At 47.5% G+C, this 23,883-nt stretch overlaps 1 protein-coding gene across 3 annotated transcripts in view; it reads left to right on the forward strand.

The window, feature by feature from the left end:
• Positions 1-23,883, forward strand: part of SLC6A11 (solute carrier family 6 member 11) — a 124,487-nt gene that overhangs the window by 24,495 nt on the left and 76,109 nt on the right. For 2 of the 3 annotated variants that reach the window (NM_014229.3, XM_011534033.3), the window contains exon 5: positions 3,492-3,624. In NM_014229.3, the coding sequence (NP_055044.1) occupies positions 3,492-3,624 (133 nt within the window). Of the gene's footprint in view, positions 1-216; positions 272-3,491; positions 3,625-23,883 lie in introns of all 3 variants that reach the window. The other variant, XM_047448764.1, reaches the window with a different exon arrangement.

The raw sequence follows: 23,883 nt of genomic DNA on the forward strand, positions 1-23,883 counted from the left end.
TGGGCTCTGGAGCCAGGATCCCTGGGCTCAAATCCAAGCTCTGTTTCTTGCTGAGGATGTGAGTTTGGGCAAGTTACTTCGCCTCTGTGCACCTCAGGTTCACTGTCGTTGAAATGGTGATGATAATTGTGCTCATCTCAAGGACTGTGGGGAGGGTTAGATGCATTCATACTTGAAAAGCCATTGAAGGTAGGTATCATTATTCCCATTTTACAGATGAGGAAGCTGAGACTCAGAGAGGTGATGCCGCTTCCCCGAGGTGGAGCAGCTGGTAAGGAGCAGGGCTGGGATTTGAGCAGCTTCTGGGTGGAAAGCTCCAGAAATACTCTACTATGGCCTGAAAAGGGTGCTTCATGAAGAATCTGCTTTAGGGCCTGGCACATAGTAGGTACACACTAAATATTACTTATGTAAATGGATCCCTCTGCAGAGCCCCATCTAGGCTTCAGCATTTCCCGCTCCCTGAACAGTGTCGGGGGAGGTCTGTCTCTGGGTCTTTTTTGGCCAGGGTGTTGGCAGCAAACTCTTCCTTATTCAGACCTTTCTTCTGTCCCAGCATTTCATGGGGGAGGCTCATTAAGAAAGCTTTTTCCCAGGAAGAGCTGTGCCTTCTCCAAGTCTCCGGAGTTGAGTGCCCCAGCCCCCATCCTCTCAAAGGCTGCCCTTGTGGGTTTCAAAACAACCCCACTGCCCTGCAGGCTGAGAATCTGGCCCCTGAGCCCCCTTTCCTTTGGAAACCAAAGGTCTGTTCCTAGTTAAAGTCAGCGTTGGTAAAACCTAAGGAAAATAATTTGAGGATGTTTTCAAATAGTGTCTGGTAGAACAAAAGAGCAATTCATCCTCCGTAGCTTTTAGTAATCTGCTTCCCATTCTGGGAATTAGATTGTTCAATTAAGCGAGAGGGTGCCGGAGCAGGCTGCATGACTCAAAAATTTGCAGCATCCACATTGTAGAAGAGAGGGGATCTGAGCCAGTTTGTACCTGGCGGGCCTGTCCCGCTTTCTCCCTCTGTCCCTAAGTGGGTTCCAGTTTTCAGGTCCCAGGTTCAGAAAACAACTACTTCAACAAGAAGGCACATGTCTGTGTGTGTGTGTGCGTGTGTGTGTGTATGTGCATGTGTGCATGTGCATACGCGTGCATACACCCTGGCTCAGTAGGGACCTCGTGTGTTCCTCCAGTGACAAGCTAAGCATCTGGAGTGGGCTGGTGCAGAGTACACCTGGGCTGTTTCCGTCAGCAGCAGCCCAGATTCCTTCCAGCTCTGGGTTGTCCCTTATAGTTCACCAGCTGATGGGCATTGGGGATGCTTTTGGTGGCCGTGTGTAAGGCAGGGTAAGCCCACAGGGCTCTTAATCTGGGCAAAGGAGAGCCAGTAGGTACCCTAAAATTCCTGCAGCATTTTGGGAGCCGGTGTATTTCTCTGGGGAGAAAGTCCATCCCTTCGGTAACTTCTCAAGGGATCCATGACTTCCTCCCTCAAACCCCTCTCCTCCCTCCCTCCAAAACACAAGTTTAAAAATGATTCAGGTGGCATTTGTAGATCACTCCTTCATTACCAAGAAACTCTACTTCTGTGGTGCTCAAGCCTTACTGTGTATGAGAACTCCTTGGGGAAATCACAAAGTGCAGCTCCTTGGGAGCCACTTTGCAAAGGTTGGGACCCAGTGGGTCTGGTGGGGGTGCAGAAAGTTTTGTGTTTCTGGCAGGTGCCCAGGGATCATGCTCTGGGACATGCTATTCTATTATACTCATAGATTCTCTTAAAGGCCTCATTTAATAAGGCCTGTAGTTTTAAAATGAATTAAAGCCAAAGACTGCTAAGACATAGGAAGCAAATAAAATGACAGTTGTTACTATAATTAAATGGCTGCCTCCTTTCTTTCATAAATAACTTGGACCTTTTTTTGGTCCACCTTATCCTAGTAGAGAGCAAGGGCCATATGATGCTTACCTTTTTTTATCCTAGGCTCTAACATAGTGCCTGGTGCCTAGTAGGTGCTCAGTAAATGTGTATTGTATTTAAGTGGATGTTCCCACTTCTCCTGGCTATGGGTGTGAGAGCTGATTTCCTTTTGAGTAAATCTATGGCTGCACACAGTCTGATTTTGTTTGGGGACCTGCCTGATTTCTCTGGCGGGGCTGGGGCTGGAGGGAGCCTGTAGATGAGTGCTAATTGGTGTCATTGAGTAATTAATGCAGAATCAGGCCCCAAGCGGATTCCCAGGGAGACAGACACTGAGGGTGGCTTTCATGCTTGGTGGGATGGGAGCTCCTTTCTCAAAGGACGTTCACAGAGTGCCGAAGCGACTGGCATGGTCTGATGGGGGTTGGTTTGGCAGCCAGAATGGGGTTCGTGGAACAAGCTTGGAGAGGGGGTTTGTGTTGGTGCCATAGTTCTGCACAATATGGAGCGTGGCGAGTTTGACTTTAAAGGAACACAAACCCCAAGCGTGGGTTCTGAGAGCCAGGCCTGCGTCAACTCTGAAGAATTGGTGGGTTCTGAGGGAAGTGAGCCTAGTGGCATTAGCTTAGCTCACCCGGAGTCCTCCCTGTCCTGTGGCCTGGGCCCTCTGGGAAGCCTCTACACTTTGGCATGATAGTCAAGGCTCCCTGTGTTACTGCCTCTGCTTACCTTTCCTGCTTTTTCCTTCTGATCCCTGCCTCCCAGCTTGCTGTTCCCAAAGCACACCATCCTCTACTTCTGGCCATGCCGTTCCTTCCACCTAAAACCGTCTCCACTTCCTTCTTCTTCTGACCAAATTCCACTTATCTTTCACAATTTGACTCACATATCACTTCTTCCAGGAAGCTCTCCCTGACCCCCTGTAGCAGTCAGGATAGGTTGGGTTATGCTGCAGTAATAAATGTCCCCAAAGAGCTCAGCAGCTTCAAGCAACAAAGTTTATTTCCTGCTCAGACTGTGTCTCTGACACAGTGGCAGGTGGTCACTCAGGAACTCAGGCTTTTCAAGGCTCTGTCTTGACACAGGCTTCCATAATGACAGGAGAGTTAGGGAGAAGAGACGATGGAGAACCATGCCACCAGTTTCTGGAAGCTTCTATCTGAAATGACACCTGTTGGCCAAACAATGTTCAAAGCAAGTCCAATGGCCCCCCTCAAGTTTGGCAGGGCAGGATGTATGGGCTCCCTTCAGGGAGGAACATAGGATGTTTATGACTGGTAATATGATCTCCTGGGAACTCCAAGGTAGGCTGGGTGCATCCTCCATCGGAGCCCTTTCCACGCTGTTCTTGTACTACATCTGCAGACTTGCCTATCTTTTCCCCCAGAGAGTGAATTCATGATCCAAGGTCCAGAGGGCTGGGTCTTGTTCCTCTTGGAGGCCCCAAGTCCTCCCCAGAGGAGACATTTGGCCCACGGTGGACGTGGGTGAATGAGCACATGGGCCCATCCCTGCTCCTCTGCAGTACTAGCTTTGCTGAAAATGGGCCAGCCCCAGCCCCAGTGACTCTCCACCCTCCCTTCTGCAGGCACCGGGTCCTGGCCATCTCTGACGGGATCGAGCACATCGGGAACCTTCGCTGGGAGCTGGCCTTGTGTCTCTTGGCAGCCTGGACCATCTGTTACTTCTGTATCTGGAAGGGGACCAAGTCTACAGGAAAGGTAAGAGGTCGATCTTCAAGCAGCTAACCGTGGCAGGGGAAGGCACGAGCTCACAGATGACCTAGAGAGTAACAGGGAGTTCATGTTGCAGAGGCCAGCACTTAAGTTGGGAGCGGGGAGGAACACTGGACCAGAGTGAGCTCTACCCACCCTCACCACTTATTGGCCGCCCACCTCAGGACAGTTCAGTTTTATCTTCTGAGCCTCAGTGTACGTGACTATGAGATAATAAAGCCTTGCCCTGTCTGTCTTATTGAGTTGAGAGTTATACAAGGTAAGGGGGTTAAAGTGCTTTGAAAACTGGGAAATGCTGAACTACTACAAGGGTTCTTTGGTAATGAAGACAGGGTTCTAGGTGTGTGTGAGGGCAGGTGATGCTGGCTGCCTCCACTGACAGACCCCAAGATCTCAGGGGTGTATTTCTCCCTCACCTGGAGTCTGGAGGGAAGAGCAGCTGCTTCATCTTGCAGCCTTGCTGTGCCACCTGTACCATGCAGCCTCCAGGGTTGCTGCCTCACCAGGGAAGAGAAACTGGAGGAGGCTAGCTTTTAACTGCCATGGCCTGGGAGTTACACATGGCTCTTCCACTCACAGGCTGTTGGCCAGAACCTGAGACACGGTGTCACCTACTGCACAGGGGCTGGGAAGTAGAGGGGACCATGGGGACATCTGGGGAGTGAGCATGCTGTGCACTGCAAGGATCAGTACAGAGGTTAGAAACATGCAGCTTGTGGCCAAGTCCAACTCACTTCTGTGTTTACTTTCAAAAGGCGGAGAGGGGAAGAATTCGTTGACAACATTTAGAAATCAGGAGATTTCATGTGGTAAAAAGAAATCTGATTCTGGCATCCCTTGGAAAGTAAGATTTGGCAACCCTGGACTTGCCTGCCCACACAGTGGCATGTGTTTGAACTGAGCAGCTGCCATCTCCTTCCAGGGGGCTCTGGTTGGCCACAGTCCCCACCATTCCATATCACCCCCAATCCTGTGGCTGAGTATCAATGCCAATGGTTTCCTCATTTTGCTGTTCATCTTTTTCTTACGAAAAAGAGGGAAATGAAGCGTCTCTCATGCCTGGGTTGCACTGACCACATCCCTCCTTGCCAGCCTCCTTCCCATAGGCAGTTGCTCATAAACTCTAAGTTCTTGGCTGGGGCAGCTGCTGGAGATAAAACCTCCAAGGAAACAGGAACTTAACAACTCTGGGCCCTTTTCCAAAAGATGTTCCCCTCAGCTCCCACAATGGTGGGTAGGATGAAGAAGAAACTGCTAGAAAGTTTGAGGTGGGCGGATCTGCAGGAAGGAAGCCAAGGTGCTCCATGCTACGGGCTATCTGGAAGCTGAGGGTGCACTTAAAACAGCCACACAGATGCAGAGGGACCACAGAAAGTAGAGCAGAGACTCTCATGTTCCTTCAGCCAAGGTGATTTTGCTTATATTTGCTTTTTGTAGTTTGTATCATGAAGACAATAGGATTTTTCTTTTTCCAACTATAAAATTGTGTCATTATTGATCTACTTCTTCAGACTCCACTCACAGTCTCCCATCCTCCTCCTTGCTGCCTCTTCCAGGAAAAAAGCTGGAGGTAATAAGAGCAAGGATTCAAACCCCAGGTCTGTCACTCTCTAGTCATGACCTTGGGCATGTTGCTCAACTTCTCTGAGCCTCACTTTCCTCTTCTGTAAGACAGGATTGATAAGTGAGCTTACCACCACATGGGGTGGTTGTGAGGATGAAATGCAAGGAGAGTTGAGTATGGTCCATGCTCAGCAGAGTGAGTAAGTAATAGTGAATGCTGAGTAAGTGGCAATTTTTAAAAATCTCATTATAAAGATAATTCAAGTCATTGTTTCTGAGTATTTACTATATACTTAGCATTATTCAATGGGTTTCTAAAGATGAGTAAAACACAGCCTCTTCCCTACCCAGACAATACATGAAAGTGCTTTGTGAACTGTGAAGAGAAGGGAGGAAGTTTCATGGTTGGTATTATTACTACTTTTGCTGTGGTTACCACCTCATGGGAGTTGACACAGAGGCCTGTGGGGCTTGGCGGGGTGGTGGCTGTGCATGGGTGCAGGAGAGGTTGCCTGCACAAGGTTTGTGTATGGACATGCTTAGGCTATTCCGGGACCTCATATGGCCTTGAGCTGCAGGCTCCAGGCTGTGGGCTACAGCAGTGCGGTTTCACTTTAGCCATAAGGAGAAGACTCAGTCCCTTAGTGAGGCCCTTTGCTGCTGACTGGGCGATTAAGTCTGAGCGTTGGAGAATTCTAATGCAGGAACTGAGTTTGAGGAAGGGCAGACAGCTATGATCTTGGAGATTTCACAAGAGGCTTATGGGGAAGGCAAGGGAGTGAACACTTATCCACTGCCTTCCACTCCCCGGCAACTTGCAAGTGCTGCAGATCCTTACAATCTGGGGAGCCGCTGCCTCTACCTTACCAGTGGAGAACCTGGGGCTAAGGGAGGGCGGGCAGCCTGGCCATAGTTGCATAGTGACCCTGCCTCAACACTGACCCCAGGCTACTCCCTCCTTGCCTCTCCCTGGACTCTCGATTAAGATGTAGAACATTGTGTTGTTTTGAGTGGTGTCCTTTCACACATCTTCCCTGAACCTCCTTTTTCTCGTCTCTGGTAGAAGTGGTAGTGATGGCAGTATGATAATTATCAGTAGTAATGGTTAATATTTATGAGTGGTTCCTTTGTGCTTCACATGCCTGCTCCATTTAGGCTTTGAACAGCCCCATGAGATGGGGGCTATCATTATCTCCATTTTAGAGATGAGGAAACTGAGGCATGGAGGGATACAATAATTTGCTCAAGGACCCTCCGGTGGGAAGCAGAAGATTGGGATTAACTTCCAGCATTGGGGACCATACAGTCTATGTCCTGGATAGGCTACTGTCATACCTGTCATCTGCGATGTGGGGACTATGGCGATTTTCTTATGGACTGGTTATAAAGAGGTATTTAATGAGATAGCACATAGTAGGTGCTCAATGATTATTGGTTGCAGCTCTTTCTAAACAGTACTTTTAAGGGAAATGCTGAAACCAGATGAGCCAATTAAGTATTTTCCTGAAGACTGGGTTTCTCCTCCATGTGTCCTGTGCCTAAGGCCAGCATTAGTGTCTTGGATGGGATGCGGTTTGCTGGAGCTGTAAAAATCCTTAGAAATGGTTTGGTCTGCCTCTGCCCTTATTTTATGGATGAAGAAACTGAGGCTCAGAGAGTGGAAGAGCCTTGCCCGAGGTCACATAATGAATAAATGTCAGGCCAGGAGTGAGAGCCTGGTCCCCAGTTTCCCAGCTCGTTATTAATGATGAGGTTCTGTGGGGGCACATCCGGCAGTTTAGAGAAACCCGAAGTCCGTGGATTGATAGGTAAGCTTTTCAGGGGAGGATCTGGCACTTTTGTTCCTGGTTATGACTTGCTTCACTTTGGAGACGAGCCCAGCATCCAAAGGTTTTTTGGAGTTCTGTACAAAAACAGCAAAAAATAAAACATCAGGTCATTTGAAACTTCCCACGTGGGCAGAGGTCACCCCTGCCCCTGGCCTGTGGGACCCTAGCCAGATCCTTTTTCACAAGGCTGTTCGAGTAGGAAGAAACCCATCTCCCAGCTATTGTCCAGCTGCAACTGGCTTTGTGTTCCCTCTTCATCTCTTCCCTGAAGTTCCAGCTTGCTGCCCATACTCAAGCCTCAGCACAAATTTCCATTTATAATAAATGTTCGTTAATTCAAGAAAAAGTCCCCAGACCCTTCCTATCTCCAAGGAATATTAAAACAATATCCCCAACTTTAAGTCAATTTAGTGAGCATTTCACCTGTTCAGGGAGGCAGACACTGTAGACCTGGCCTTTCATCAGTAGACCTGGCCTGCATCTGCCATGTGGGGACTATGGCGATTTTCTAAGTGAGGATTTGAGATCAGGTCACGAATAAGTTGATCCCAAATGGGGCTATAAGAACACCAGAGGTGAAGTCCAGGAAGCGCTGGCATTAGCATCTCCTTGCTGGGACAACATTCATACATGTTCTTCTCCACAAACCCCCTTGGGCACCTCCCAGTATGCCTCACAACCTTTTGATGCTAGGCATGTGGGATTTTCCCCAACCCCAGGGTCTGATGAGCAATCTGTATGCTCAGAAGCAGCTATTCTGAGCTGGAGGGAGATTCCCTACACCCCAGCTTCAGTAGGTAGCAAGATGCCTGCCACTAACTGTTGCTTAATAGACATTTGTGAAATCAGTGAATTCCCCCTGTGCTTTGGGCTCCTTGGGAGGTGCCGGGGATACACCAGAGAGACACTGGACAGCCTTGTCTCCGCAGAGCATGCGACCTGCTAAGGTGAGGTTCAGACAAGTAAGCAGTTTAACTCTGAGTATTAGCTCCAGCATTAAAAAATACAACTTGGGGATTCTCATGGCTGAGAATATTAGAATGGCTCCAGAATATTAGAATGTAGCCTGTCAGAGTTGGGAGGCATCTTGGTTTTGAGGACCAAATTTATTTTACAAATAAGGCCCAGAGAGGTTGCAAGATTTGTCCAAAGCTACCCACTTGGAAGGAGCCAAGCTGGAATTCAGACCCAGGCTGCCTTCCTTCAGCCCAGTCTTCATCTGTTCTGTATCTCCAGCTTGGAGTTACTGTGCAGATTGAACACAAATGCATTGATCATAGTTCTGAGCTCACAGTAGGTGCTCATTAAGCAGTTTATCTCCCCGTTCCAATAAAATAGCTGCAGTTTTAGTTCTTCATAGATATTTTCCCTCACTCTAGACACTATTGGAAATTTCAGAAATCTCCTATGGAAAAAAAAGCCTTTCTCAATTGTATATTAAGTCCTGAGAAAACACAGGATTCTAAAGTGCTTGCTTTCTTCAGGAGATAACTTCCAGACAGTATCTTCTGGATGATACAAAGTTTCACTTTGGATAATTGGAATGGGGATAATTGAAATTAAGTGACCAGAAAGTAGAGACGTCTTTGTGATTTTCCTATGTCATTGTTTTTTTTCATCAACTGAATCCATCTTGCCCATCCCTGTCACCAGCTCCTTCTCCTGGTCTCCTGGGCCTGAAACCACTCAGCCATGTTGGATACCTCTCATCCAATTATTGACCAAGTCTGTTTTTGTTTAAAAAGAAAAATACCAAAAACATCCTGTCCTCTCCATTTTTGTTTCCCACGCACATATTCAAGAAACATTGAACCTTCATTAGCTCCCTAGCACCTCCAGAATGAAAATTGCCCTTAGAATTTCCCATTTGTACAAACATTGCAGACATGCAGAATGATACAACTGAAATGCTTTATATTCTATGAAACAACAATTTCACATAAATTCAAAATTGTAAATTCTATCTTAGGCCAAAGCATGTACAGCAATATTAGGGTTTTGTGATATTTTTCTAGTATCTCTGTGCATACTTGTTGAAGCCAAAAAAAAAAAAAAAAAAAAAAAAAAAACGAAAAAAAACCCTTTTCGTTACTGTGTGTCCTTCTCTTGTGGTTTTGGTAGGCCTTAATCCAATCCAGGGATTGGCCAACTGTGGTTTTAGGGCCAAATCCAGTCTGCTGCTTGCTTTTGTAAATAAAGTTTTAATGGAACACAGCCACATCCATTCACCCATATATTATCCCTGGATGTTTTTGTGCTTCTACGGAAGCAATGTGGAGTCATTGCAGTAGAGACTATGTGACCCATAAAACCTAATATATCCGTGACCTGGTCCTTTATAGACAAAATTTGTGGACTGATGGTCTAATTTATTAAAATAATTTATGCAAACAAATTCTCACTTGACAAGAAGCTAATATGTAAATTGCTATCACCCAAAGTATGAGCTATTTCAAATATTAAAAAGCAACATGATGGTTTTCAGTAGAGAGCTTTTCTAAAGGATCCTTAAAAATTTCACTCCAGCCTTCCAGTCCCAAATGGGATATTTCCCATGTCCACATGTTCACTTGCTAGAGAGGTTGCTCATTTGCTCGCTCATTCATTCACTCACCCAGCAAGTGTTTACTGTGTACCTGCTATGCCAGGCACCAGGCTGGGGATTCTTTTCAATGGCGAGTGAACCAGACCATGGGGCTTACCATGGGGTAGAAAGATGGAAAATAAACAAGCAACATAAGTATAGTGAGAGGGAGCACAGGGCTGGGAGAGGGAAGCATTGAGGGCAGGTAACCTCCTCAGAGAGGTCAGGGATGGCCTCTGTGATGGGAAGGATGGGATGGGGCCAGCGAGTGGCACATGTGAAGTCTCAAGTGGGAAGGACTTGGTGAACTTGTGCGGCAAAGTAAAGGCAGTGATTGAGAAAGATGGTGGCATGAGATCAGAAGGGAAGCGGCGGGGGTCAGGCGTCATCGAATTTTTTCTAAGAGTGTTGGAGAACCACTACAGGTTTTCCAGCAGGGATAGCACGGTCTATTTTCATCCCTGCAAGCTGGCTGTGGCTGCTTGTTGTGAATGGACTGGTGGGGAGTGGTGGGGCTGTGGCAGGGAGCCCTGTTAGCATAGGACCAGGGAGGAGGTGGCAGGAGAATGGAGAGAGCTGGTCAGATCAGAGACACCTCTCAGGGTTTCATCCTTGTTCTGCAGGGCCTGGTTCCATATAAGATTTTGAGACCTTGCTGTCCTTTGCCTTTTGAACAGGGGTGGTTGACCCGGCCTTTGGCCTGGACACTGCCCTCTGCAGACAGCCACCCCTGCCCAGCGGACAGTCAGAGTGTCCCCCCACGCTGCCCCTACACCCTCCCCAGCTGGCTCCTGTTCCTTGCTCTCCCTACTGCCTGGTTCCTTCTTCTGTCCTTCTCTTGGTGGATGATTTATGGATTTTTCCCCCTCATTTCCTGGTCTCCAGGAGCAGTGACTGGGAGGGGAGGGTGCTGCAGCAACAATTCTGGTCCCTTCCCCGCCTCCTCCTATTGCCACTTTAAAGGAAGCTGCAGGATTAGCTGGGATTTTAAGAAGAATCATGCCTTTTCACTGCTTTGGGGCTCTGTTTTTATTCTTTTCAAAGCTCTAGGACACCGAGGCAAGGAAAAAAAAAAAAACCACACACACAGACAGACAGACACACTCACACAGAAACAGCTGCAAAGAGCCTTGAATTGATTTTTTTCTTTCCCTTCCTTCATTCACCCACAAGTAGAGGAATTGGAGGTGGCACAGGACTCTTAAGCAGATCGTGTTGTCTGGAGGATGGTCATTGCAAGGCCAAGGCCTGAGTGGCACCTTCTTCCCTCCAGGCCCTGCTCCAAGGCCTTAACTCATTCAGTGCTCACAACAACCCTATGCAGAAGGTGCGAATATCGTCCCCATTTCACAGATGAGAAAACAAATGTGCATGGTGCGTAAGCCTTAAGATCATGGGGGGATGCTGTCAGAGCCCATCAGGGTCAGGGAGGAGCTGGGAGGGGCCCTTGGCCACTGGGCAGGGGGCAGTTTTTGCAGGTGAGGGCACCTGCTGCTTACCATGGGGTAAGCCAGCAGGTCTTGGATCTACAGATGGAGGCATTTCTCAGAGGGGCTGCAGGAGGCTCCTCCCCTCCCCCACTGCCACCAAGGTGGGCTGGAGCACCAGCGGGGAGAGCCATCAGGAGCCCCACACAGAAAACTTATTCTACAGGAGCACCCTATAAAGTGTTTAATGGCTCAATGAGGCATAAAGCAGGAGTAGAGGGGGACTGGGGAAATAAAAGGAAGGGATGTGTGAAAGAGCAGAGGACAGGCCCAGGAAAGGAACTGAGAGCGCTGTCTCTGGGCCCTCAAGTGGCCTTTGTTGCAGTCTCAAGCAAGAGGAGAGCTGCCTTGGTGGCAGGACTCTCCCAGCGGCCAGGGCCGATGTCTGCATTCAGAGAGGAAACTAGAACGTTCATGAGATGCATGCAGAATGCCTGGGCGGCCAAACAGGAGAGCCCCTGCCCCGGGGCCCTGAACCCAAGTACACCGAAGCCGCCATGCCGTTGGGAGCACTTCTCACACCACTGTGGTTTGGGGAGAGCAGTAGATTGTGACTTTAAGTCAAAGGAGTTCAGCATCTTGATTCAGCCCTTTCTCTGGCCTTGAATGACAGGGCTTCACCTTTAGCGGGAACCCTGGCAGCAAGGAAGCTTGGAAAGGAGGGAAGTTTTGCGACTTGGTAATACCGTCTTTATTAAAGCACAAAGGCCCCCCAAAGTCCCAGTGATTGCTGGGTGGGAGGGGGTTCTGTGGCTGGTGGCCTGGAGAAGGCCAGGAGTCCCAGTGGCGGGGGCTGGCAGTGGTGCTGCAGTTAACCCTTACCAAGCCCCTCCTGGCACTTGGCGCCTGTGCAGCGCTGTCCCCGTGCACATGGGTCTCCCTGGGAAACGGGAAGCCACCCTCCTGTTTGGCAGGCACCAAATAATCAAAGTGGTTTTGCTCTCAGTGCAGGATGAGGCACAGTGCTTTGGAAAACTAAGCCAGAAACGAGTGGGGAATTTATTTTGTATCTACTGAATATTAGCTCTGTGCTAGGTGCTATGGGGAACGGTAAAAGAATGATTAGCTCTCAGGAACTGGGGAAATAAGATAAGATGAGGCACAGATGGTGGCCAAGGGGAGTGGAATGAGCAGGAGCTGGGAGTCAGGAGCCCTGCCCCGCCACTTGCCAACTGTGTGAGTTAGCGTGGGCCATCCAGGGCTGCTTCACCTCTCTGGGCCGTAGTTTCCCCTTCTGTCAGGGTTAAAGCATGACACGTGCAGTGGCAGTGGAGTGTCGTTACTTGTGAAAGAACGAGCCCAGGCTGGGATGATTGAGTCGGGTGAGCCTGGCAGCCAGGGTGGGCTGCAGTGGAGAAAGGTACCCCGAGGCCAGCAAGTCTGGGCAGCTCCAGGCAGGGGGACCTGTGAGCTGCCTTGGACAGATGTGGCAGGAACAGTGATGAGCAAAAGCTCAAAGGGGCATTTGAGGTAGCAGAGAGAGATGACATGAGCCTGGGACTGGATGGCTAAGCCGCAGCTGGCATGCTGCAGGGGCACCCCCGCTTGCTGTCACCTGCGGGCAATGGCCCACTCACCCCAGTGCAGTCGGGATTGATGTGGAGCTGGGTCCCCTTCCAGAGAACCTGCCAAGGCCACCCCTCCCCTCCATCCCTGTTGCCACCCATGTCAGTTGGCATCCAAGCAGCGGCGCAAAACCAGTAGGAGATATAGAGGAAGAGCTCGAGTGGAGGAATTGGTGACTGTGGGGACAGGCCATCAGAAGGGGCAGGCTGGGACTCTCTACACAGCTGAAGCTGCTATTCACAGGCAGAACTTCTTCGTCACTGGGGAAGTCTCAGCTCTGCTCTATAGGCCTTTCATCTGAGTGACTGAGGCCCACCCCGGTTATCCCACATAATCTCCTGGACATAAAGTCACCTGACCATGGATGTGAATCACATCTATGAAATACCTTCACGGCAACACCTTGATTCATGTTTGATGGATGACTGAGGACCATAGCCTTAGCCACCTTGCACGTGACAGAGCCAGCACAGCACCTTCATGCAGGCATGCCCTGCCTCACACCTGGATGGTAGCACCAGTGGGCCACCCTACTGTGCACCCTGCCAGGGCCCTGGCTTTCTTGTGTACCGTGGCCAGACTCAGCTTCCTTCTGTACGGCTTTCATTGTGTAGCTCTCCCCTCAGAACCCACCAGTAACTCCCCATCACCTGTGGCACTGACACTGATTTTTAAAAATTGTCCAAACAATATTTTTAACAAGCTATTTCTAAGCAAAAGAATAGTCTTGCTCACGTCTGTAATCCCAACACTTTGGGAGGCTGAGGCAGGCGGATCACCTGAGGTTAGGAGTTCAGGACCAGCCTAGCCAACATGGCGAAACCCCGTCTCTACTAAAAATACAAAAAATTAGCCAGGCATGGTGGTGCATGCCTGTAGTCCCAGCTACTTGGGAGGCTGAGGCAGGAGAACCACTTGAACCTAGGAGGCAGAGGTTGCAGTGAGCCGAGATCGCACCACTGCACTCCAGCCTGGGCAACAAGAGTGAAACTCCATCTCAAAAAATAAATAAATAAATAAATAAAAAGACAGAATTGTCTCCTCCAATCCCACCACCATACATTCTCTCATTGTTTATGTGTTGCCCTCTAATCCTTAACATGTGTAATCAGAGCTAACACTGCTGGAGGCTTGGCCACAGGCAGGCGTTGTGCTAAGCACCATGCAGCATCCTTTCTGTTAATTTTCCCAGCAGCCTTCCAGGGTCTCATGCTGTTATCCCCCTCCCGCCTTTTATAAGGCAGAGAGAGACTAAGGAAGCCATTCGAGGTCTCAGAGACAGTAAGTAATAGAGCCAAGACGCGGATGCAGATCTGTCTGGTTCCAGAGTCCTTGCCTTAATATCACTCCTGAGTCCAGCATTCAAGGTCCTTCTCTGTTTCAGTCCAGTCTTCCTACCTCCTCTAGTGTAGACTTAGTATATTTATAACTTTACTGTATGTTTATACACATGTTTGTCCCATTGTAAAATAAGCTCCCGAAGGACAGAGTGCCTGGTGCTGAACCAGGTGCCTAAATAAAAAATGGTGAATAGGTGAATAGATGGATGGGTGCGTGAGTAGATGTATGGATGGGTGAATGGGTGGGTAAGTCGATGGATGGGTGGGTGAGTAGATGGATGGGTGGATGGGTGGGTGAGTAGGTGGGTAGGTAGATAGGTAGGGAATTGGGAGATGGGTAGGGGGGCAGTGAATAGCTATGTGGATGGATAGACAGAGGGCTAATCAGCAAATTCAGTCCTCTAACTTTACTAATGAGGCTGTGATATGCTTCAGAACACACAGGTGACAATTAGCTAAGTAAAATATCTCCTGCTGATACAAGCATCCTGTGGAGTAGATACTAATCACCCCATTTTACAGATGTGAAAAACTGAGGCTCTAAAGGTTTAAGTAATGGGCTTGAGATCAATTTTTAGTGGCAGAACTATGATAATGAATCCAGAGCAACTTTCTGCCTCTAGAATACTGTACAGACCCAGATTCTCCATCCCTTACTTCTTCATCCCTTTTGTTTCTGCCACACCCTGCTGTCTTCTACTCCTGCAGGAAGCCTTCCCTGACTTCTCCCACCCTCATCCTTCTTGGCTGTCTCCTCACTCCTGCCATAGCTCTTATCAGCAGCAGCATCCAGCTGAGCATCCCTGTTTGCCTCTTGTGTCTCTGTCAAGCTTGTGGGTCCAGGGAGATTTCTTACTCCATGAGACAAATATTAAGCCTGTCCTGTGTACCATGTCCTGTGCCAGGCACTGCAGGTATCAACTCTAAACAAGATTACAGGCTGGAGTGTGAGTCAGACTAGTAAACAGACAGTTACAAAATCTCCCTGTGGTAAAGATAAACGTGACCCTGGGGAGCCAGTGGCATTAAGCTGAGGGGTGAAATGTGGATAGTTGTTAATTTCCCGGAAGCAGGAGAAATAGGGGATTCCAGGGAAAAGAAACCATGTGTACAATGACCAGAAAGCTAACCTCCTTCCCTTTTCCCTCTTTCCTCTCTTCGGTTTTCCTTCCTCTTTGCCTATGTTGATTGGGAACCCATTGCATGCCAGGGACTCTTAGAGCATGTATTTTTTTATTCTTAGTGTGAGCCACATGGGATGTGCTATGAGTGGTCACTTGTTGATTGATTCCATCAGCCAGCAAGTCTGTGATGCCTGTCATGTGCTAGGACCCATTTGATTGATTGGGGTGAAAATGCTAGCATTTCGTGGCAGTCACTCAACCAATTGCTCTTCTCCCTCACCCCTGGCGGTGGCTAAGGGAAGAGCAGAGGGAAAACTTCTCTTGGGGAAGAGGAGTGACAATCGAGAAAGGATTGATAGAAATTGTGTGTGATTCTGAGTGTGCAGCTCTAGGTGTGAAACCCTTGTCTGATAACCAGGAGCAAATGGAGGGAGACTGCGGGTTGAGAGGGAAGCAGGGAAATGATGGGAAGAGCAAGTCCCAAAAGCAGTGGAGTCAGACAGACCCAGGTCCTTCCTGCTGAGCTGAGGCACATCGTTTGCAGAGCACCTGCCACATGCTGGACTTTGGCCTGGGCCCTCCACTTTCATGATTTAACTTAACCTTCACAACAGACTGTCAGGCGAGTGTTGGCAAATCCACTTTACAAATGAAGATATTGAGGCCCAGAGAGGTAAGTGATGTGCACAGGGTCACACAGTTGGTGGAGGAGTCAGGATTTAAACCCAGGTCTACCAAGGTAGAACCCAAAACTGGTGCGTTTCCCCCTGGTACCCACAGAGTCCTCAACAAGCATTGGCCCTCCCTCCTTGCCTTGGCAAACATTCACCCACCCACCAGACCAAGTGCTTATGATGTGCCGGGTACCCGTGGTGGGCTGGGTAATTTGAAAATGGATGGGTGGAAGAGAGCAGAGTCCATGGGCTCCACCACCTCTGGAACCAGGCAGGCCCCGGTCTGAATGGTTGCTCTGTTTCCACGGTGACCTTGGGCACAGGCCTTCTTTTCCTCTGAGCTGTTTCCTCAGCTTTACCTGGGGGCACTGAGAAACCCCCACCTCACGGGTTGTTATAAGGCTCAAGTGAGGCGATGTGTGGAAATACTCCCCCATGCTTGCATACAGGGAACACCCCAATGTTAGTCTCATCATTATTGCTTGCAGTTTTTACAAATCCATGCTCCAACTTCAAAGTGCTCTCTATTTAATGGGGAATTAAGATTGGATTCATTCACCTGAAGATAATCAACATGATTCTGGAGTAAGTGTTGTCAAATCCTGGCACAGTCTGTGTTGGTACCGAGTTTGGATAAGGAGGTTATAGTGGCCCGGGGTGGTCTGGAAAGGCCTCTTGGAAGAGGTGTGATTTCAGCATCACTTTGAGCAAGGGGAGGGGCTAGAACTGGACCTCACATTGGAGGAGTGGTGTGGAAAGGGAGAGCCAAGGATGGCTATAGGGGTTGGGAAGCCATAGGCTGGGCCAGACTTCAGAGTAGGGGAAGCATAATTATCAGAGGAAGGTCCCATGGGCAGTGGGGAGCCATTGATGTTCCTGAGTAGGGGGTGTGTTTTGGGAAAGTGGAGGTGGCACCAACAGGCCTCACATTGTGCTCTGTGCTGGGTAGCAGCTGTCTTCTTTCCTGTTTGACAACCCCTGATGTGTAATGAACTAGAACCCCCAGTGAGAACACTGGAGCAGACGATAATTCACTCGGCTGAAGCCAGAGAAGAGCCTTATCCTGAATCACAATTAAGTTGTGTCATAATTGTGATTGGCTCAGTATATTGATAATAATAGTACCAACACCCAGGAAACAAATGCTTACTCTATGCCAGCCTTGGTGCCAGGGCTTTTACAAGCCACTCACAGACCCTGCACCCCTTGTTTGTGACAAGGATTTTGTAACATGGCTTTTGTCACCCTGAAACGCAACTCATAAATAATCTGCCTGCACAGATAAGTTCAAGAAAATTGATATGATGCCCTAGCTATATTATAAAGGAAAAGCAAAAAGAGAGCAAATTATAAATAAAACAGCATGTATTTCAATATGTAAATGCTCGAGCACACAAGAAAACATAATGAAGTAGTCAGGTGCTGGCACCAGCTTGTAAGAAATACATATGGATGTGAGACAGGAGAGCCGATGCACCACTGAATATTGTCTATACTTTTTCTCCATGTTTTACATTTTTAAATAAGAACTAGCCACATATGTTATTATAGAATCACCACGAATGCAATAGCTGGAATAGTGACTAATAAAAGGGTGGTTGTGTCAATCACTCACATTCCACGGACAGTACAGCCATTAGTGACATGATTTTCTGAAATGATGAACAATGCTTGGTAAAGTACTGAATTAAAGAGACAGCCTTTCCTCAATTTACATGGTAATTGCATTTCTGGAAAATTCAGTCTATATTAAAATGAGGTTAAAAAAATCTTCGAGGATATATGTAAAACAGAGTTAGCTTCTCACTCGAATAATTATAAACAGCTCCTCCCCACCCCACAGGAAGTGGAACATGCAGAAATCTTGAGAAGCAGGAGAGTTTTTTTGCTGTGTGAGGATGGTCCCCCACACTGTAGGATTCCCAGCATCTCTAGTTATTTGCCATCAAATGCATCACCTCCATCTTTATGATGACTCGAAATGCCTCTACATGTCTCCAGGTTGCCCCTTAGAGGATGTACTGCTCTTGTTGCAATCACTAACTTATGTTATGTCATTTAATCTTCACAATAATTCTTTGAAGTAGGTATTTTTGTTTCCACTTTATAGGTGGGCACACTGAGGCTTAGCGAGGTACAGTAACCTGCTCAAGGTCACAGAGCTGGGACTGGAAGCCCCTCTGTTTTTCTGTCTCACTATGGCATTTAATACTGAGTTATTGTTTTACGGAGCTATGTGCCTTCAAATTAATTCAACATGCACTTATTAAACACCTACTGGGTTTTAGGTATTCTGGTAAGTCAAGGAGACATAAAGGCAAATATCTAAGACTTGGTCCTGTGCAGCATATGGGATTGTCCAGAGAGAGAGAGAGAACATGGCTCTGGAAAGGAATGGAACAAGTTCTTTATGCCCAGAATGGGCAGCCCTCGAGGGTATATGAAGAGAAACAGGCTGGATTGGTAGGTAGAGATCAGCTTATGAAGGGATTGTAGACAAGCCTAGTAAGAAATTGAGAGCAATGGAGAGGCACCAAAAGGCTTAAAGCCAGGGGATTCTATGACCAAGCTTTATAAAAAGGCCACCATAAAATGTGGCATGTGGAATGAATAGGAGGGGGCTGAGACCAGAACACATGCCATTAAGTAGTTTGGGTAGGAGATAGTGACAACTTTGAGGTGGAGAGAGAGGAAGAATTTGTGAAATAAGCAAGAGTATGAGTCAGCCCTCTGTGACCCAATGTAGAGGGTAAAGGAGACACAGCAGCCCAAGATGAAGCCCAGCTTTCTGGCTTGAGTGCCCAGTGCTCAGTGGTGCTGGTAGGCGAAATGGAGAAATATGGTAGGAGGCAGTGTTTTGGCTGGAGTTGAGGGAGACCATTCTTTGAGGACCCATTAATGTCTGTGACTCTGCAAGTAGACCCATTAATGTCTGTGACTCTGCAATGTCTGTGACTCTGCAAGTAGAGATATTTGGGTAGCAGACAGGTATGTCTGAGCTCAGGTGAGAGATGTGTGCAGTGGAATCGTTAGCATGTATGTTAGGATTTCTTTTCCTGGAGCCTGTGGATGTTTCAAGGTATCCATGAGCTCCTTGGAATTGTATAAAAATTCTGAGATTGTGTGATATGTACTTTTTTCTAGGGTGAGGGTCTGTAGATATCGTCTTATTTTTAAGGGACCTGTGTCTTCCCAAAATGAGAAACCTCTAATATGCCATATTTTGTCTAATCTAAGTTACATCATTATTTTATGTACCAGAAGGTACATAATGCTTTCAATTAAGAACATTTACCAGAAGTATAAACACTTCCAATTAATCTACTATCCACTGCTTTAACATTATTCCTGTGTGACACGTGGAATAGTCACACCAGACTCTACTGTTGCTTTGAAGTTTCTTCCAAAGGAATTGGCAGATTCTTCTGACCTCAGGTGTGTTTTCTGGGGTATTTTTTGGCAACCAGTTTGTGGTAACAGAATGTAACATAGCTTCATTTACTTGGGGTTCTTGGATCCATAAAGTAATTGGCTGTTTCTTTGCAAGAAAATATGGAAGTGTGATCATCTCACCAATGATTTCTATTTTCTTTACAGTATCAAAATTTATCCCTATTTCTGTGCCTTTCTACAGAGACATAGTGTAATCTTTTTAAAAGACATTCTAAATCTCACACAGCAATTGACTAAATTAATTTAAAATATTTTATCTAACAAAACCCTTAGCTCAGCTATAGTGATGAAACAGGAACAGCTATGCCCTTGGTCCCTTCCATTCCGGCAGTGGAAACTACATTGCAGCTGCCATGTGGGAGCCATCCTGATTTCAGAGATAATAAGGTGAACCATTTTTAAAACATGTTTCTTAGAACTGATGGAATTGAAGCTCTGGGAACAAGTGGGACAGCCAGGATGAGAATGCAAGAGAGAAGAGCACAAGAGTGAAGATGGGACTTGGGGGACACCAACATGTAAGGGGCTGAGAGGAAGAGGAAGCTGAAGGGTTCCCTGAGAAGAAGGGAAAATCCAGGCTAATGAGGCTTCAAGGCGGGAGAAGGAGGGCAAGGGTTGTAAGATGTGTGCTGGGCTGGGCATGCCCATTGGAACTGGCCATACTGGGTAACAGCAGCTTCCATGGCGTGCTGGAACTTCCGGGAAGTGGAGCCAGCTTATGCATTCCTCCCTGTCAAAAGGTTTATCCTTGAAGAGGGGGAAGCAGGGAGGCTGAAATCAAAGAAGACACATGGAGGTTGTAGCTTGGATGACACCATTATCTAAAAGGGGGACACAGAAGGAGGAACAGATTTGGAGGAGACAGTAATAATTTTGGTGTTGAGTATGTAGAATTGTAGGTCTTCATAGGAAATCCAGGTAGACATATACATAAGAGGTTGAAAATATGGGTCTTAAATTCAAGAGATACCACTGCATGAGGAGGATTAAAGAGCATCAGTACATTGGTGGCTCCTAAACCCATAGGAATAGGAAAGAAAACCCAGGAGAGTGTTTAGAGAATAGGATCCGGGTGAGGCCCCACTTCTGGGAAGCAGTTTGGAAATCTGTAGAGAGCAGCTTCCTTTGAGAGCTACCTGTGAGGCAGGACTTGTTCCTATGCCTAACACAGTAGCTGGCAGATAACAGATGCTAAGTGAAGGTGATTGATTGATTGGTTATTTGATTAATTGATTGAAAGAATGCATGAAGAGGCCGGGCATGGTGGCTTAAGCCTGTAATCTCAACATTTTGGGAGGCCAAGGTGGGAGGCTTGCTTGAGCCCAAGAGTTCAAGACCAGTCTGAGCAACATAGCAAGACCCCATGTCTACAAATAATTTAAAAAATTAGCTGGGCATGGTGGTGGACACCTGTAGTCCTAGCTACTTTGGAGGCTGAGGTGGGAGGATCACTTGAGCCCAGGAAGTCAAGACTGCAGCAAGCAGTGATTTCACCACTGCACTCTAGCCTGGGCAATAGAGTGAGACCCTGTGTCAAAAACAAAAACAAACAAAAAAAAGCAGGAAGTAATGAATCTGTGAAAGAGACTTAAAAAAATCATGGAGAAAGGAGGCAGAAAACTAGAAAAGTCCAATGAAGGAAAGTTTTAAAGCTGCAAAGATAGGAGATGAGCAAGCATGAAGAAGCCATTAGGTTGGACTATTTTAATAGTCCCTGGGGGACCCTGGTGTCCTGTGGGATGGCTGCCAAGTAGAGAAATGAAAGAAAGAGGATAGACAGCTTTCAAGTGAGGTGAGAACAAGAGGTGAGCATTGATTCTTCTTCCAAGAAATGAAGCAGTTTTGAAAGGAGCATGTTGCAACCATCATGGGTTAGCTGGGAGGGATCCATGTTGCTCAGGATCCCTGAGGAAGAGCCCAGGAGAGCCCAGAGTCCTTGGCCAATTGGATGGATGGGAGGAGAGTCTGCCTTTCAGAACAGGGGATGCTTGCAGGAACAAGGCAGCACCTTGCTCTTTCTGGCTCCAAATGCGGCCCCTGAGTATGGGATCCCTCCTCTCCACAACTCCATCCCAAGTGTGTTTAAGGGAGTAAGAGGACATGGGGTGGTGCTTCTCATCTGGCAGTGTCCCCCCACTGGCACATCCTTGCCTGGGGAACTTGTGGTTTAATGGTGCCCTTGGTCACCATGGTGACACCAGCCTTCTAGTCTAAGAGAGATGGATGGGGTTTAAATCATTATTAGCCAAGGTTCCGAGTATGTTTTCCAGGCAGTAAATAATAACTCCTAATACCAGTGTAAGCTTGGCTGGGCACTGTTGGAATGTTTATGTTGCTTGGGCTTGTTTTCATTTTGGGTTTGTTTTCTTTTCATGGTCTTTATGGTAGAGCTACGTAAAAATCAGTAGCATTGACTCCCTAGCTAACCTTAATTCACCATGAAATAGGCTTAAACACTAGACTCCCTCATCGAGTGAATTTTGGATATCCTGTGGACAGGGATTTAAATTGGGCTCAGCCTTCTTAATGAGCATGGTTGCTATTTAAGTATCTTGTCACCGTTGCACACAGTGCTTGTGTCTTTCCTTGGAGGTGATTTTTCCCAACCTGGAGAACTCTGCCTGCTTTGTGTCCTGGGTTCTTCTTGCTTTAAGGACTTTCTTCATGTAGCACATTCTAGATCAGGACTCTGGAGCAATGGGAACATGCTGTGCCTCCTTCAAAGTTTAGCTCCAGGAGGTGCTCTCTGGCACACCACTGCCAGCCAAGCTGCTCACACCACTGTGCATATGCCTGAGGCCCTCTGCTGCCATCCTGTGAACTGTCAGTCATATACATCTGTTCTAGGGTTAGCTCACACACCCTTGAGGGCAGGGACCCAGGTCATTCATCAGCATGCTCTCAGAATCCAGCATAGGGCCTGGCACACTGTAGGCTCAGTGGATGGATATGAATGGAATTCAACTGCGAGTATTTTACTCTCAGATGGAGAGACTGAAATGAGAACATGGACTGTTCACACCAGGGCCTATTGCAGACATATGGGGTTATGTCCTGTTATGTTCTGTTTGTTCTTACCGTGTTATTGAGGTCTGAATTTATTCATGCACCAACTATTTGCAGTCCATGTAGGTCTTCCCAGGAAGTGTTTCAGAGCCTGTAGAGATGAATAAAGCCCTTGCCTTTGAGTAGATACCAAGTAAAGAGAAAGCCAGGTCTGTGAACAGCTGACTGTATTACAAGGCAGAATGAAATAAGGGCTAAGTAGAAGGAGGAAGGGAAGCTACTGTCTCCTGAGGGCTAATGTGTCAGGTCACTGTACCTGGTGCTGTGTAGACATGGGCTCATTTAATCCTTACATCTACCAAGAGAGGTGGGAACTATGGTCTATGATTCACAGATTAAGAGCCTGAGGCTTAAAGGGATTGAGTTCATCTGCTGCATTGCTATCCCCATTTTATAGAAGAGAATATCAAGACCTAGAAAGATAATAGCTTGCCAAAAGTCAGCCACATGCACACAGAGTGCCAGAGGCTGGATGTGAACTTTGATTTTCTGAAGCCAAGATGGCTCCCCGTATCTGCATGCCACATTGCTCAGTGTGTTGCAGGCTGTGACAGGAGTGTTTTGTTCTGCCTGGATGGCCTCTTACTGAGTCCTAGAAGACATGGTCATTGAACTGGTCTTGAAGGTCAGCAAGATTTTCATAGGTAGAGAAGAGGAAAGGACCTTCCTTTCCTCATCTCCACTGTCCCACTCAGGTGAAGGGTGACATGAAAGCAAAGGTTTGCAGGCAGGGAAGTGAAGGGTTTGTTCAGGGGACACAGGAGGACATGGTGTGAGATGAATGTAGTTGGCTCATAGGGGAACTCAAACTCCCGAGGGGTCCGTTCGGGGCTTCGGAGTTGAATGGCTCTGAGCTTGAATCCTGCCTTTATCTAGCTTTGGAATCATAGGTCAAATGCACAACTTCTGGGTGCTTCAGTGTCCATCTCTGTGAAATGGGAATAATATTTTCTGTCTTCTAGAATTGGATAATGTAAGAATAAGGCACATCAAGGAAATGATAAATGTCAGTCCTATTATTATTAGCTATCTTCTGATCTTCCATTTCTCCCAAGTGAAGCATTTTTCCCTCTTGAGCCCTCTGTGTCCAACTAGGATGTCTCTCATTACCAAATAATAGAGTCTTGGACTCTCAGGACTGGAATGAGCCATGGGTGTAGGTGATCTTTATGTTCTCAGCCATCAGTGAGAAGAAAGAGTGACACTATTCCCTAAGCTCTTAGATGTTAGATTTCTTACCCCAGCCCCGATGATGCCTGACAGGAAAACACCCCTCCCTTGTGACCTCTCAGGGTTGGGAGGGGCGTTTTCCTGTCAGTATCTGAGAAGTCTCAGCAACTTTCCCCCCAGTAACTGCGCGTGAGCCCCTAGCAACCATGTACCCCTCAATGGAGAGCCCCCAAGCTCCTTCCTCACCAGGTTCCTGGCACATCCGAAAGGTTGGAGATATTCGTTGACCTTGGCTACTCTTGAAAGCCTGGCATCCCTCTTTACAGGGCAGGCTTCCTCCCTGTTGGGTGTGTCTGTGATGGTGCACTTGGGTCCCCGGCTTCCCTTC

Source organism: Homo sapiens, chromosome 3 (assembly GCF_000001405.40).
Source record: "Homo sapiens chromosome 3, GRCh38.p14 Primary Assembly".
Lineage (NCBI taxonomy): Eukaryota > Metazoa > Chordata > Mammalia > Primates > Hominidae > Homo > Homo sapiens.